We start from the raw sequence: 16,805 nt of genomic DNA on the forward strand, positions 1-16,805 counted from the left end.
AGGACCAGAATTTAGGCCTCAGAAGGGAAGGATGAAGCCCCCAAAGTTGCCACCTTCTAGGGAGCCCAGACCTCAGGATTTTGAGGAGTTGGCTCCATCAGTGTCAAGAGGTTTGTGTGGGCAGCTGGCTTGGGAGGGTGGGGGGTTCTCATGCCCTCTGCTCAGGCCCTCTGCTTCACCCCAGCATGCCCCACTCCCCTAGGCTCAGTGTCCCCACGGGAAGGGATCAGTGGGAGCTTTCAGCGCCAATGTCTCATGAGTTGAAGGTCAGTGGTTTTCTCTTGGACTGATGATTGTCCTGCTCTGATCCACCTGACTCCAGAGGGGTGGGTACTGACATGGTGACTCAAGAATGTGGCCTCGGTCTCCCCCTGGGGCCTTGTGGTTAATCCCCTACTCTCCTGTGGTCTGGAACCACTGAATGCAGATTCAAATCTCTCTTTCCTCCATGATTCTATCAAGAAAGAAGAGGGTTGTCATCTCAGTTGACACAGGGGTGGAGGCCCGTGCGTGGGCCCCTGAAGTTTCTAGGGCTGACTCTTCCTAATTTTCTGTGTGGCCTTGAACAAATCCTCTCTCTGGATGTCACTCGCACCTAAGAAGCCAGATACTTCAGGTAAGAGCCCTTTCCTGTTGACAGTTGCCTCATCCTGACCTGCTGGCAGGGTGTGTGGCGGGGAGCTGAGCCCCTTAGGGACAGGGGCTGCTTGACAAACATTTTGGAGGGCTGAGGGGGGCATTGGGGCATCCCCACCTCCAGGAAAACACTGCAGCCTCAGGCCCCTGCAGTAGAGGCACCCCTGGAGGGAGGGAGGGCCAGCTGCCAGGCTCGTGCCCCTTGTGGGTCCAGGGGGCCGACGTTGGGGAGGGCTCTCCGCCATTTCTGGCTGCCCCTCTAGTCCTTCCTCGGGTCTCTTTCATCCTCCCTCCCCTCTCTCCCATCTGCATGCCAGACTTTCCCTCCCAGTCTTTTCTATCTGTGCTCTCTCTCTTATTCTCTGAGTCCCATGGTTTTCTCTCAGCTCCCTGCCTGGCCTCTCTGTCTCCCTGCAGGCCTCTCTCTTTCATCTTCCTCTCCTTGCCTGCTCTGGAAGTCCTTCTCCATGTGTTCCCCTGCCTCGGTATAACCTCTCCTCTGTCCACCTGCACCCACTTTCTCCCCCAGCTTCCCCCACCCAGCTCCCAAGTCCTGAGCGCTTTGGGGGAAACTGAGGACAGGTTTCACCCTACTAAGGATGGAACAGGCAGGACGGGAGAGAATAGCCAGCCTTCAGCAGGTGGCACTGTTGGGTGACTTTTGCTTGTAAAACCTTTTAGCACTGAAAAAACATGCTGGAATCTATTGGCATTTGAGAGGCTCTTTTTTTTAAAAAAATAAAAATAATGACTCTCATTTCCTGGGCATCATTAAACAAGGTGCAGTGTTTGTGTGTGTACGTGTGTGATGAGGATGTATGCACACAGATGTCTGCACCTGAGCCTGTGGGGCTGGAGTGTAGGGGTGTATGTGTGAGCAAATGTCAGGGCCCTGGGTGCCTGGGTCTACATGTGTAGGGATGGGAGTGTCTGTGTGCGACACACACAACCTGTGTGAATGTGGGTTTCCGTATGAACTGGTGTGTACCAGCATGGGATGTGTCTACACGTATGCACCATCACACATGAAAGTATGTGTGTGAGCGAGCAGGGCAGGTCGGGCTGTGTGGGGAGCAGGGTGGTGTGTTTGTGTCTGCGGATGTACCCACCAGCGGAAGCACAGTGGAGGGGAGGGAGAGTCATGGAATTAGGCCTCCAGGTTTCAATTCTGGCTTCACACTGCAGTGGTGTGATTTTGCTGAAGTCTCTGAGCCTCAGACTCTTCATCTGAGAAATGAGATAATAGCATTATCTGGCACTCCGGATGACTGTGAGGATTAAATAGGCTCTTCTGTGTAAAGGGCCTGTCCTGGCATGGGCCCAGTAGGCTCAGGGCCACAGTGTGTCTGGGTGAGAGTCAGCAGGTGTGGCCTTCTGCTCTCCAGCTCCACTGTCTGGCTGGGCTGGACTTGCTGGCCCTCAGGCCTGTGGTGTTGGCCTCTCTAGGGGTATGAAGACCCAGGGGTGGGGATGTCCTGAGGGCTCTGGGGTCTGACCAGCCCTAGTGTTTCCTGGCTCTGCTGGATAGAACCACAGCCAGAATGACCGCCCCCCTGCCCCGCCCCCCAGCAGTGGAGATCCAGCATGCAAGAGCTGCAGTGGCCCTCAGGGGTCGTCGACTCCATCCAGCTCCCAACATAACAGGAGAGGGGAGGGCAGGCCACAGCTCCCCACATAACAGGAGAGGGGAGGGCAGCCCACAGCTCCCCACATAACAGGAGAGGGGAGGGCAGCCCACAGCTCCCCACGTAACTGGAGAGGAGATGGCAGCCCAGAGGGGCCGGTAGCCTGACCTGCGCCCCATCGTAAGTCATGGGCTGGCCACTGTCTGAGGGCTGTAAGCTGGGCTGATTCCGAGGCTGGGGCCCAGAGGCAGAGGCAGAGGCAGAGGGCAGCTCCCTGCCTCAGCTCCTTGCAGTCCTGACTCCACCCCTCCACCCCTCTTCTTTCCTCTTCCTCATCTCTTTGTGGCGACCTTCTGCCTTAGAGCTGAAAGTGGAAAGAGGGCCGCATCTGACTGGTTCTCTACTGCTGTGTAACAACCATACCAGAAGAGAGGGGCTTCGAGCAATGTCTTCTTCTTTTGCTCTGCTCTCTGGGTTGTCTGGGACTCACCTGGGTCTCTCATGTGGTGGCTAAGGCTGGCTTCTTGGGGTCTTTGCCTCTCTTCTTGCAGCATCTCATCCTCCAGGGCCTCTCCACGTGGCTTGGGCCTCTCCCAGCAGTGTGGGCTCAGGGTAGTGATTCTTTTTATGTAGCAGCTAGCTCCCAGGACACTGCCAGTGGAGGCTGTCAGGCTAGTTAAGGGCTAAGGCTTGGACTGGCACAAGGTCTCTTCCTCCTATTCTTTTGGAAAAAATCATCATGACCCACCCAAATTCAAGAGGGCAGAGAAATAGAACCCACTTCTTTATAGAGGAGGGGAAGGTCATATTGCCAAAAAGCCTGTGGGATGGGTGATGGTGTGGTGGGCATCTTTGGAAAGTGCAATCTGCTACACCATCTTAATGGCATTATAAGATGACAAGCAAATGCCAGTCTTAAGAATGTTTCTTCTCCACCATTTCATCCAGCCCTCCCAACAGCCATCTGCAGTGGGCCTGTCCTGGCTTCATCACCCCCTGTGTCACCCTGGGCAACTCCCTTCACTTCTCAGCACCTCAGTTTCCACGTGTTGAACAGGAGTGGTAATAGTTCCTGTTTCATTGAGTTGTCATAAAGCAAGAACTCAGCCCAGCACCTGGAGAGACCTCAAATGCGTTGTTACTATCATCGCCCTTCTCTTCCTTTCACAGATGAGGAAACTGAGTCTCAGAGAAGTCGAGGGACTGGCTCAGAGATGTACAGCATGGCATTGCTGGAGCCGGCCTGGAAGACAAGCAGTCTCCCTCCAATTGCACACTGTTTTCTCTGAGGCTCTGCATTGTTGGAGGAAGGGTCAGAGGGGCTGGAGAGGAAGAAACAATGCAAATATGAGGCAGCAGAAGGGAAATAGAGGTACTGGGGGCTTCCAGCCTCATGCTGCTTGCTCTCTCCTGAATCCATCGTTGGTCTTTCTGTCCTAATCCGACCACTCCATCGCCAGCCTCCATTCCTCTGAATGTTGATAGAAGAGCTCCGGACTCTTTCCAGCTTTCCAGACTTTTCCACTCACACAGACTCAAGGGTCCTCCCAACTGTCTTGTGAAAAGAGGCCATCCCATTCCACAGGAGGGGAAACTGAGGCTTGGAAAAGGCACATGGTCCCATGTAGCGTCACTGTGGCTCTTCGGACTCTTCCAGGTCCCTCTGCCTGTCCTGGGCCTGCCATTGTTCCACCTCCAGGTCTGCCCACTGCCTGCACCTCTCCTCCCCGTCTCACCTTGCCCTGCACTGCAGCTGCCACGACCTCCAGCAGCCCTTTAGACCAACGTCCTAAAGCGATAATGCCATGATGTTCCTGGCTTTTTCAAAACCCTTTTCCTAGAGTGTGTTAACCAGAATGGCAGTCCCACGAGGATCTCTGTGATGAAAGGGCTTCATGGTCAAATAGTTTGGGAAACGTGGCTTCCTTTGTCCCTTCCTTCTCAGTTTGCCAAATTTAATTATGCCACACCCCCATGCACCTTCTTTTGTTTCATGATATCATTATTTAATACCCCATTTTGGAATATTATCTAAGAAATGTGGCCTGAGGAATGAAGTTCAAATCTCTCCTCTTGGCGTCCAAAGGGCTTCACCATCAGATCTCAACCTTGTTTTCCACCGTGCCTCTCTTGGACATCCAGAGCCCTTGCCCTCCCCTCAGTAGTCCCTGGTGTCCACAAAATCCATGGTCTCACCCTCCCTGTTTTTGCTCAGACCTCTCAACTCCCGTCATGTATCTCAGAGCTCTGTTTCTCCAGGGACACCCCCAACCTCTCACCCCTTGGCGGTGCACTGACTGCTGCATCTCACTCAGCCATTGGTTGGGTGCAAAGTAAATTTTCTTTCCAGGCATGAACCTGAGTCCCAAACTCAACCCTAAGCTCTTTAAGGGTGCAAGTGTCATCTTGGGTTTCTGCGTCTCCTGACTTCCTCCCCAGGCCTGGTGCAGAAGCACTGGCAATGCGTCTTATGCTGGGCAGACGGTGCCCAGCAAAGTTGAATAGATATGTGGCAACAGGCTGGCTCAGCTGGAGTTTCACCCTCAGTAGGGAGGAACACATAACTCCTTCTTGCTGTGGTATGGGAGTCCCAGGGTCTCAGGACAGTAGAGGCCACTGGTCCACACATGTCTTCTATGTTCAGTTTGATCTGAATTTGAGATTAGCGATTCTCTTTCTCCTCTCCCTAGTGGGAGAACAACAGGAGCTGGGCTTTGGCTGTAGCAGCAGAGGTCCCAGTTAGACTCAAGGAATAACTTTCCAAGTAGCAGAGACTGTGGACCATTTGCCAGATTGGATTTCAGTGATTGGTTTTAGACTAAGAGGACTTTCTCTGTTGTCCTTAAGGATTTAGGGGTGACTGTGTTCTCCCAAGAGGTGGATAAGATGACCTCTTTTGGGCTTTTCTATCCCTGTAATTTCCAGAGCTGCCAGCTCTCTGGGTCCCTGGGGTCACAAAGGGAGGAAGAATTTCGACACAGGGAAGGAGGTGGGAGGAAAGGGGAGAGGGGTTTGTGTTGGGGGAACAGACCCCAACCTCTGCAGCTGGGGCATGTACTGCCCAGAGGAAGGAGGTTGGCGTGCCAAACCGCCCCAGTGGCTCTTGGAGCCTCTCTGGGGCTGCTCCCCCACTCACGCGCCACAGTTATTTTTAGCACTGGGATGTGCAGAACATGCTACAGAGAAACAGAGTGGAAAATCTGACACTCAGAGCCCCGCTTGGAGGGAGACACAGTTCTTCCAGCCGGGCGCCACTCACGTGTCTGATTTGCATCTTGCACGTTTCTCCAAGCAGCCCGACTACTTTGAATTCCAGCTGGCTCCCGGAGCTGACCCACAGCCTCCTGGACAGGGCCTGGGGTCCTTGCACTTGGCAGGTGGCGATGGCTCTGGTCAGGCTCCCCTTGCTTCTGCTGGCCATCAGAATTGTGACCTGCATACAAGCATGGGGCGCTACATAAAAAGCCCAGTGGTCGTCTCCTGGGTGTCCCAGACATCATGTGGAGAAGACAGGGCAGGTCTTAGGATTGTTGTTGGGTAGGGGAGGAAAGCCAGGCCCAGACAAGGCATCTAAGGACCTGAGGTCACACAGAGAGGGAATAACAGAGCTGGCCCTCAGGAGGGTCAGCCCCCTCTGTCCTTGGGGCATCCCACTGGGAATGCAATGTCTAGGAAGCCTAGAGTCGAAGTCCAAACCAGCTCAGGAGACAAGGAGGTTGTGTAGTGGATATTTAATTATAAATTACTTTATGTTTTTTCCCTTCTTATTACAAAAACAATGCATGCTCTTTGTAGAAAATTTAAAAATACAGATAAGCAAACAAGAAAATTAAAAACACCCATAATCCCAGCACTCAGAGATAAACCCTGTAAATATTTTGGTATGTTGCTGAATATACCACCAGGCTTTTCCTTTTTCTTCTGTAAAACATTTTCATTTATTTTTAATTACACCTGTAATATAGGAACACATTTTTTGTTAGAAAAATTCAAACAATACAGATCAAGCTAAAGTCGCCTCTCTCCCTCCCCAACCGAGCTTCCCTTTTCTGCAGAGGTAATCACAGTTCTAATTTGATGTATATCGTTCCTGATCTTTTTTTAAGTGTACACACACATTCATATCATATAGAGATATGTGGTTTTATTTTTAGTGTGTTTGGATGGGCTTTTTTCCCAACAGAAATGGTAGCATATTGCATGTGTTGTTCTACACTTTGATTTTGTCACCTATTAGTCTTGGGGTCCTCTCAGTGTCAGTGTTTAGAGCTCTAACTCATTTGCTCTAACGGCTGGGTAGAATTCCCTTGCATGCATACATCAGAGTTTATTTAGGCATTCCCTTGTGATAGACTTTTTGATTGCATCCACTGTGTGTGTGTGTGTGTGTGTGTGTGTGTGTGTGCGCGCGCGCACGTGTGTGATTGCAACACTGCCTTTCAGTGCTCTCATATGTGCCTCCTTGGGTGAGAAAGCTTCTCAAGGGTCAAAGCCGAGATGAGAAATGGCTAGTTACTCTCGTTTTATGCGCATTAAGAAAATGGGAGCACCTTGGATCAACTGCCGTAAGAATCTGCCTTCTCCACTTTTCTGTGCTAATATGAAGGCAGCTCTGACAGCATTTCCCAAACTGTGCTCAGGACAGCGCTGTGTGCTGGGAGACCCTGATAGGTCCACCTAGGGAGATAAAAAATCAGGGCAGGTGTACGGTTGAATACATTCAATGTACAGTCGAATAGATTCACTGAAATGCTCTTGGAAATTCACCAGTGCCCATTAGTATGTCAAGAGGTGTCCTGAAGTAAAGAAACAAGTTTGTCTTCATTTAGCCTGGCTGTGGAGGGCTGCGGTGTAGGAAACAGATTGCAGCAGACAGCGGCAGTGCCCGACCCACATCCCCTTTGCCCTGCCACTCAGTGCTCTTCTGGTCCCAATTCCACCTGCTGGCACCTGTGCTTTGTGCCTGTGTCTGGTTTCTCTTGCTGCAGGGACCTGTGGGGCTGCCCTGTGGCAGGCTGAGCATGCAGGGGACCCGGTGTTGTCTGTGTTCCAGCCCCAGCAGCCCTCAACCAATGATTGAAGGGATTGGTGTACAGAAGCCCCAGCTCCCTCACCTCTCGGGTGAGATAACTTTGAGGCAAGTGTTTTACATTGATCCCTGTGCTTCCCCAGAGGGATCAGGCTCCAGTTCCACTGTGGTAGCTGGCTTGAAAACATGCCCATTATTGGCTGCCCTCCTTCCTTGTCTCACTTCCCCACTCCTCCCCACTCATCTCTCCAAATTTGAATCTTCTTGCATTAGAGTCCTGGGTTTGCTCCGGAAAGAAGCTCAACTAAAACTGATCAGTGGTTACTTTTTAATGGCTCCATGTGAATGTCCTAAATATTTCTCTCAACAGATCCTGCATTGCTGGACATTGAAGTTGTTTCCTTTTTTTTCACTATTATAAACAATCTTGTGGTGGACATCCTTCTAGCTCAATGGCTGTGTACATTTTAAATTATTGCTTTAGAAACTATTCTAGACATAAAGCCACTGGTTCAAAAGACATGCATCGTTGTAGGGCTTTGATAACTTTGTGGCATCTGCATTCTCCCCTTCTCATCTTGTTCTAATCTTGCCTTGCGTTCCACAGAAGGTACAGAGGGGCCAACCTTGGATGTGCTCTGGAATGAGGCTCCCTCACAGGGACTGGGAAAGGCAGAATACAGGGAATACATGGCAGGATGCAGGGAGACAGGCGAGTATCCACCTGGAGTTCATAGGGAGGCTCTTAGAGCTTAGTGCTGATGGGTGCTTCTTCCCAGGTTCCTGTTCTAAACTCTTCCCATTCTACAAGGCTCCATTGAAATCTTACCTCCTCCAAGAAGCTTCCCTTGACTTTTCCTGCCTTGTGGGCCTCATCTTGAGGCTGCACGTGATTTGGTACTAATTCTATATGGGTCATGACACATCCTGTGGGTGGTAACAGTCAATGTTAAGCACATGACAGATTTACACGTTTGGGGTTCAATAAATGCTTGAGGTAAGAAAGCCAGGGAACACAGATTTGAATCTACCTTTGCTGCTATCCTTGGTGGGAACCTGTGGGTCTCCAGGCAAGGGCCCCGAGGTGGGCTTGAATGGGAATAAGCACAGTACCGGCCCACTCTCTCCCTTCTCAGCCTCTCATTTTGCCCCCTTTCCAGGAGTCTTTCAGCCAGGAGTCCCAGAGGCTTGGCTGTCTGCATTCAGCCCGGGGCTGCGAATATCAGTGCGCCTTTCTTTTTATCCTTCCAGGTGCAGGTTTCCGGAGACAAATATACCCTCCATTCCCAGCCCCTCGATCTGTCTAAACACAATTTGACATGCGTTGCTATTAGCTTAGCACCTTATCAAATAATGCGGCCTGATCGAGATAAAAGGTTTTACAACCCTTGCTGCCTTTGTTTCTGCCTGCATTCACCCGCCGAGACAGCTAATAATTACCACCAAAGACAAAGAGAAATCTATACGCTCAGCTTAGAGGTTCCCGTGTGCATGTTAAGCAGCAGCCGGAGGAAAGAGAGGTGGGAGGAGATGGCCCCAAATGCAGCCCGGGCTTTGCAGCCTGCTGGAGAGAGTGGCCCCCTGGTTGCTGGGTGACCCTGTAGTTTGGTGCTGTCTAACCCTGGAGGTGGAGAGAAAGGTGGAGGCTGTGCCCCAGAGCCCTGCCCTGGGGTGTCAAGGCCTGGTTTGGCAGGTCAGGGTGGTGTGAAGGGAAAGGCAAGGATGCTGGCGTAGAGGGTTGCTGAGACCTGGGTTTCTGCCTGGCTCTGCTCCCAGGCTGCTCTGTGACCTTGGGTAGCTCCCTTGTCCCCTGTGGGCTTCAGTCTCTGTTTCCATAGCCTCTGGCTTCTGTGATAGGGCACCAAGGCAGTGTGGTGGGAGGGTGCCCGAGGCAGTGTGATGGTGAGAGGTGAAGCCAGCTGGACTTCCTGGGTGGAGTGGGGACTTGGAGAACTTTTCTGTCTAGCTAGAGGATTGTAAACGCACCAATCAGCACTCTGTGTCTAGCTAAAAGATTGTAAATGCACCAATCAGCACTCTGTAAAAAATGCATCAATCAGCACTCTGTGTCTAGCTAAAGGATTGTAAATGCACCAATCAGCACTCTGTAAAATGGGCCAATCAGCACTCTGTAAGGTGGACCAATCAGCACTCTGTAAAATGGACCAATCAGCAGGATGTGGGCGGGGACAAATAAGGGAATAAAAGTTGACCACCCCCACCATCAGCGGCAACCTGCTAGAGTCCCTTTGCAGCTTGCGGAAGCTTTGTTCTTTTGCTCTTCACAATGAATCTTTCTGCTGCTCTTTGTTTGGGTCTGTGCTACCTTTAAGAGCTGTAACACTCATCGCAAAGGTCTGTGGCTTCATTCTTGAAGTCAGCGAGACCAAGAACCCACTGGAAGGAACCAACTGTGGACACAATGGGAGTCTGGAGACCTCAGTTCGAGAGTCAGCTCAGCTGCTCAGGCAGTTGTATGTTGTTGTGGGCCTCCATTTCCCCATCTGGGAAATGAGGAGCTGGTTGGGATGATTACCGTGGGCATGTCAGGACTGTGCCCCAGGTGGTGGATAACGCAGCTGGCCTCTCCCTGGATGTCTATTCAAGGACCATGCCTATGTGGGGTCTTGACTGGGTGCTGGGGAAGGAGGAGATGTAAGTCTTCAACCGAGAACCTGTTCTAAAGAGGCAGTTTTCCTTCCAGCACCAACAAAGACAGAGTGAAATGGGAGCTCAGTGGGGGAGGAATAATTGTGAATGCAGTCTCAGAAGGCTTCCTGGAGGAAGAAGGGATGAGTGGTGCCAGGGTAGATGGGGTAGAGTGTCTGAATGGGGCTCTGTGCAGCAAGAGCAGTGATGAGGATTGTGAATAAAGTGGGCTGCAGGGGTTGTGAGTCTGTGATAGAACAGTCTGGATTCCAGCATCTGCTGGCACTGGCCACTCTCCAGGGGACACGGATTCCCATAGAGCTCAGGACTGTTGGGGGCTGCCTGGATTCCCCTCTCCCCCCGCCCTGGCCTGCTGTGGGAGGGATAGAGCTAGTGTGCTCAAAAATGTTTAACGGTTCCCTGTAAACGTCCCCATCGTGACCGATTCCACAATACCAATGTGACATCACCAAATGCAGAGTTGGGAAGAGATGAGCACACTTGACTCTCAGGAGTGGGTGTGAGCTGCCTCCAGCACACCGCAGGTTGGAGTCCAGTGTAAACCCAAGGAGTCAGGTCAGAGACCCACATGGTGTCAAGACTCAGAAGATAAAGGATGGAGTAGCACACATGCCACCTCCACTCCTACTTGTGCCTATGGCAGACATCACTAATCAATTGTGTCTCTGCTAAGCTCAGAATTATTCTCATCTGAGTGCTCCAGGCAGTCGCTAGCAATTGATTACAGTTGGCATACAAAATGACAGTTCTTTGCCATTGCAGATCTAGGCTAACCTCCACATTGTACACATGGGGGAAACTGAGGACCAGATAGGGAAGGAGACTCTCTTGAGGTCATCCAAACAGTTTGGGAAAGCTGAGGCTGGAAGGCCAGTGGCTCACCTCACAAGCTGGCACTCCCCTGTCCTCCCACACTGTCTTTGCTGTTGACAGCAGCAGTAACAAGGGAAAGGAACCTTGTTCCTAAGAGAGGTGGCCTTGGGCCTGGGCTGAGCATCTTATCTTCCCTGAAGTTCCTACCTCGAAGACAGGGATGAGTGCTGTCCTAACCGCCAATTCTCATTACAAAGACGTGTCTGCAGCAAATGGCCATTTTCCCTTTGTGCCCTTCCTTGGGGCATGTGTGTGTGTGTGTGTGTGTGTTTGCGTGTGTGTATGCAGATTTACACAGCCCTGCCCACAAGAATGGACATGTTTTTAATTCCCATAAGCTAGAGACAAACTTGGGGACCTTCCCAGAGAGCAGTGGTCCCTCCTGAGCACCCCTGTTTGTCCCCAGGTTTATCATCAGAGCAGGCACTGGCTCGTGGTTTATCCTGCGATGGACTCTGGGCAAGTCTGCTCATGGCTGCGAAGCGTTGGGCCCACTCTGTTTCCGTCACCTTTATTCTTTTCTTTTTCACTTCGCCACACTCAGATATCATCTCTCTGGCCAGCCCTCCCTGATCCCTGACCCCAGCCCTCTCCTCTGCTTCGAGCTTCCCTCTGGCTTTGTGCCATCACCTGGGGTTGTGGGATGATATGCCTTCATGCCTGTCTCCCTCCTGGACTGGGCGTTCCCTGAAGGCAGGGCTGGGCTTCCTTTTAGCGGAGTCAGCCTGTGATCGTGGTTGAGTTTACCCCAGCAGCTCCCTTTGCCTCTCTCCAGAGTTGTCCTCTTACTGTGATTTGAATCCAGGATTCTTGGATCCGGAAAGAGACCTGGGGACCTTGTGGTCATTCTTGCATTGTTCCCTGGGTGTCCACCAGCTGGGGTTTTAGTTCTAAGCCACAGAAAAGGAGTGTGGCTGATGTAAGTAGACGGTTTAGTGAAAGGTTAGCGTGTACTCGCTGAATTGCTGGGAGCCCGAAGAACCAGGTTCAGGCAGGAGGCAGGGGGCCCGGATGGCAGGCAGGATCACAGCTGCAATTTTGCCACAAGGCTTTCTGGGAGGACACTGCCAGGCCGGGGCACTGGACAGTTTTGCAGCCTTGAGGCCATGTGGCCTTTGGAAACAGGATGTTTGTGCAGCTGCTGCAGCCATCACAAGAATGGAACCTCTTTTACCTGCATGTCCTCAACTCAGATTCAAAATTGCCAGGCAGCTGCCTCTGACCTGTGGAGCCAGGTCACCCGCCACACCATAGCTGCCAGGGGCTAGTGGGCAACTGAGGCTTAGCCCCGCCATGAGTCCCTGAGAGGATGCATGGGACACACCTCGCCATCGCCCCCACTGTGGGGTGAGGGAGCCCAGGCAGGCACTTACCAGTTCCTGTCTCTTGCTTGGTAAAGGCTGTTCCTGGGGTGTGTCAACTCCCTGGCACTCTGCCGTGCCATGCACACAGGGCAGAGGTGATGTATTCCTCCAAAGTCTCCCCAGGAACATGAGGGGTTTCAGGGGAGTGGAGGGACTGAGGATGGACCCTGAGGCTCTGCTGCCCCTACCCCCAGCTTCAGCTTGGGTTCTGCTATGTTCACTGTACTTCTACGTGGGGGTTTGTGGAGACCAATCTCATATTATACTAAACGTCGACACCCATTTGGTCCAACACTGAGGTGTTTGGAGGCCCTAATAGGGGTTCAAGGTCACAGTGAGTGAGCGAGTGGCTGTGGTGCATGAACCCAGGTCCCCTGATGCCCCACGCTGGCCCCTCTGGCAGCACCTCAGCCTCTTACACCAGAGCCCACACCCCTCATTGTCAGGAGGGCCTTCAGTGGCTGGGCTTATTTGGAAATGGGACTTGGAGCTGGATTGTCCCTGTGCAGGGTTCACACACCCACAGACAGTTAGCTCTGGGAGGGGTCTTAGAGACCCCTGGCCCTGTTCTTACTTATGCAGAGAGAAGGCAGAACCTCCTTGCCCAGCACCCCTCCGGGGACTTCTGGAAGATATTTGGCGAGGTGTTCACGGCTCACCTCCCTGCAGAGGAGAGATCATTATCAGTGCTGCCTGGCCGCCATCAGCACCACAAGGAAATAGGCACGTCTGGTCGTGGGAGTCACCTAACTCATGGCTGGTCATTGGAGGCTTATGGGCAGGGCTCCAGGAATGCCATCTTGCAGGGGAAGAGTGGGCAGGTAGCTGGTCATCTACCCCTGGGCTGAGGCAGGAGGCAGCCAGCTTCAGCTTACGGTGAGTGTTACCCTTCATGGCTGGGGCAAGGAGATGGAGTGGGTTTGGCTCATCTGTCTCTGCTTCCTCCATAGCACAAGGCTGGGCCAATGTGCTGTGTGTGGACACGTCCATGTGTGCAGGATGGAACGAGTTGCCCTCCCTATCATCTCGTGACCTTGCTCATGATACTTAGCTTCTCTGAACCTTGATTTCTTCATCTGTAAGATGATGGTGCCCTTATTGGATTGTTGTGAAGTTTAGGTGAGAAAGGCGTGAAAGTGCTTAGCCTGGAGGCTGGCACAGAGTAAAGTTCAATACACACTAGATAGTAATATTATGACCTCCTAATTTGTAAGCTAGGGAGGCAGTGCCTGCCTTGCAGGGTTGGCTGGAGGATTAAATGAGATGGTCTACATAAATGCTGAGCACAGGTTTTGGCTCATAGTACAGCTGGCTGGTCATGCATGTTAACATCACAAGGGGAAGGTTCTGCCAGTGGAGTGAGACATGGGCTCCTGGATGCCACTTTCTTGATGCACGCTTGAGACTTTTACAGACCCCTTTAATTTTAAATTCTGTTTTGTGGCTCATCTCAATAAGGTGTATCAATTAAGATACTTCCAGCTGCATGTAATGGAAAAACCGAGTTGGAATGACTTAAATAAAAAGGAGGTTTAATTTTGCACGTTACAAGAACAGTAGAGTGATAGTAGAGTTTAGTGATTAAGGCAGAGCTTAGAGCTCAAAGCCAGACTGCCTGAGGTGAAATCATTGCTAGCTGTATCACCTTGGGCCAGTTAATTAACCTCTCTGGGCCTCAGTTTTCACATCTATAAAAGGGACTAGCAATAGTACCTTGCTCACTTGGCTCTGGTGAGGATTAAATGGGTTGCCAAATGCAAAATGCTTAGAACAGTGCCTGGCGCAGGGGAAATGCTATGTTAGTGTTGGCTGTCTATTTATACCAGAGTTGGGATTGTTCCAAGGCTCATCAATTTTGGGGTTCAGTGATATAAACAAGGTATCGATTTTTTTTCCATTGTCTACTTTGCCACTGTCAATGTGTTGATTTTGTCCTCAGTTTTATGCCTTCCTCATTCAAGAAAATTGCAGCTGAACCAAGCATCACTGTCCAGAGCCAGAAGACAGAATATCTCTTCTTTTTGGGGAGAGAAAAACTTTCTCCAGTGGTGTTCTTGACACCTCATTGGCTGGAAAGGGGTCAAATGCCTAGGTTAACTACTTGGGGGAGAAGAGAATGGAATTACTGTGATTGCCCGAGTCTGGCCAAGCTTCATCCTCCTGAAACCACTCGTACTTGGACTAACTTGGAGGTCCGCAGTGAGGAAGAGGGGGTGGGATGGTGAATCACCTAGTAATGTCTGACTCAGGGTAACGGGGTGTGGGGACACAGCCACATAGCAAAGAATCTGCTATCATACCAGGCTCTGCTCTGCAGGGCCTGATACAAGTTTTTGGCTAGTCCTGAAAGCCTCTCTGGTCTGGTGCTGGCTGCCATCTAGTCTGCGAAAGGTGGCTCAGATGGAGGCCTGGGTAAGAGCGTCCAGGAGCTGAACTAAGTCCTTATCTGTGGTGGTGCACATAAATAACAACTTCTATTTATTCAAACTGACTTTCTCCCACTATGATCTAGGAGGCAGATATTATTTTTATATTCATTTGAAGACGAGAGAGCTGAGGCAGGGGGAGAGTAAGTGATGTGCTTTGGCATATACTATTGGTGCCCCACCCACAACCCTTTGGTCCTTCTTGGAGGTCACCTGTAGCCATGGTGGACAGTGGCTGACTTGCTTGTGTGCAAGGTGGCCTGGGCGTGCCGGGAAGTTAATGCCCAGAGTGACAACCCTCAGGAAGTGGGGGAGGGGAGTTGATGGATAAACACCCCAGCTTCCTCACCATTAGGGGACAATTCCTAGCTGTGTTCGGCAGTCTCTTGAGGTGTGTGTGGCAGTAACCTGCTCACAAGTGCATATTAGTGTGGCTTTTCTGTCTTCCTTGTCTGATTTTCATTTGTTCTCATCTGGACTTCCCGGGATCACTTCACCCAAATCCTGGGCTCAGGGGCTGCTTCTGGTATAACCCAAACTAAGGCCCTTGTCCAAGATTGCAGGGTTAGCAAGAGATGGCGCAGGGATACACACCAGGCCAGCCAAACTTGAGCCTGAGCTCATGACCAACAAGCCACTCCTCTTGTCGTTGGAAGAACTGTGAAAGAAACAGGAGAGCCCCAACCTCAAACCCCAAACCCCACTCGACTTCAGCCAGACCAGTGCTCATGGTGGTAGCGAGCTGCCTGTACAGTAACCAAGCCCAGTGTTTCCTGCGGCGAGGGCCTGCTGGGCTCTGACAGCCAGTGGTAGTGGCTCATAAACTGCCTGATGGGATGGGACCAGTGACCCATGAACTGAATCTGAGGAACAATTCGGCCTTCCCCAGCCGGCTGCAAAGGAGCGATTATGGACCATCCAGGAAATAATACATTTCATGGAAAAGACCGTAATTACGGAGTATTGAGTAAATAATATGTGCTTTTTAAAAGTCTGCAATTATGTATTTATCCTATCTGTAATTAGGGAATTTTTAAAGGGCGCATTATAGGTAATTTAAAAATAAAATAATGACACCACTCAAAACAAACAGCCCCAAACAAAGACAATTCAGGCCACCCCAAACTTGGTTCAGTGGTGATTTCAGGGGTAACCGCTGTCCTGGGCTTCTGGGGAAATCAGATGGTCCATGATTGTCCTGGGTGGGTGAGGTCAGCTTGACCCCAATCTTGGCTTGATGTCTAGAAGTTCCTCAGTGCTAACATTCTATCTTTGACTAGCCTCAATCCTCAGAAATCTCTTCCTCTGGTGACAGCCAAGTGACTACTGCGTGTTGGCAGCATTTCTCACTCTTATTCTTCTAGAAACTTTAAGGCTGCCCTGTCTGATGCAGTAGCCATGAGACACATGTGGCTATTTAAATTTAAATGAATAAAAACTTAAAAAATTTAAACACTCAGTTCTTTAGTTGCACTAGATGCATTTCAGGTACTCAGTAGCCACACATGTGTCAGACAGTACAGGCATGGGATATTTCCATCACTGCAGAAAGTTCCAGTGGACGGTGTTGCTTTAGAATCTACAGCTCACGTATGTAGTAGATTGCTTACGTGGTGTAGACCTGGTCTTGAACAAATGCAGTGAAAGAAAGCTTGCTCTTTTTTCTGAAGTTTCTTCCCCACTGGAGAGACCCAACGTTACTTCTCCCTTCTTTTACACGTACTGTTTTATATTGACTTCCCTTAACGAGCGGGGAGGCTTGTCTCATTCATCTTCATGACACCCCATCCCAAGCCAGGATCTAGAATATGTATGTTGGTAGAGAAGCACTGGCTCAAAACTTTTGTGAACATTTTTCTCCATTCCTCATCTTGTTGTTTTGCAGCTCAATGTCCACCTCTGTCTTATCGCTCTTAGGCACATCAATGACAAACTCTTGGCCAAGGTCGTACTGGCATGCTGGAGGTGATGCAGGTGATGATGGTGACAGTTATGATGGCAGTGGTGGTGGAATTGGAGGTCATGATGGGCAGGGTGGTGCTAGAAATGTTAGGGTGGTGGTAGAGGTAGTGGTGAAGGTGATGTTGGTGATGGCGTTAACAAAGGTTGGGCCATGATTGTATCGACATGGTGGAAATAGCTGAGGTGTTGACAATGGAGGTGATGAGGGTGGTGGTAATGG

General features: G+C 50.9%; 3 annotated features.

Moving 5' to 3' along the window:
* Positions 1,655–2,211: an enhancer, noted in NCBI's record as "H3K4me1 hESC enhancer chr10:79971794-79972350 (GRCh37/hg19 assembly coordinates)". NCBI's record gives its function as "activates a minimal SCP1, AML or CMV promoter by ChIP-STARR-seq in primed H9 embryonic stem cells {active_cell/tissue: H9 hESC(primed)}" and the evidence as "EXISTENCE:reporter gene assay evidence [ECO:0000049][PMID:30033119]".
* Positions 2,251–7,193: an enhancer, noted in NCBI's record as "VISTA enhancer hs1974". NCBI's record gives its function as "enhancer in: heart[4/5]" and the evidence as "EXISTENCE:transgenic organism evidence [ECO:0001131][PMID:17130149]".
* Positions 5,530–6,030: an enhancer, noted in NCBI's record as "H3K4me1 hESC enhancer chr10:79975669-79976169 (GRCh37/hg19 assembly coordinates)". NCBI's record gives its function as "activates a minimal SCP1, AML or CMV promoter by ChIP-STARR-seq in naive H9 embryonic stem cells {active_cell/tissue: H9 hESC(naive)}" and the evidence as "EXISTENCE:reporter gene assay evidence [ECO:0000049][PMID:30033119]".

The sequence above is a fragment of the Homo sapiens genome, chromosome 10 (assembly GCF_000001405.40).
Source record: "Homo sapiens chromosome 10, GRCh38.p14 Primary Assembly".
NCBI lineage: Eukaryota > Metazoa > Chordata > Mammalia > Primates > Hominidae > Homo > Homo sapiens.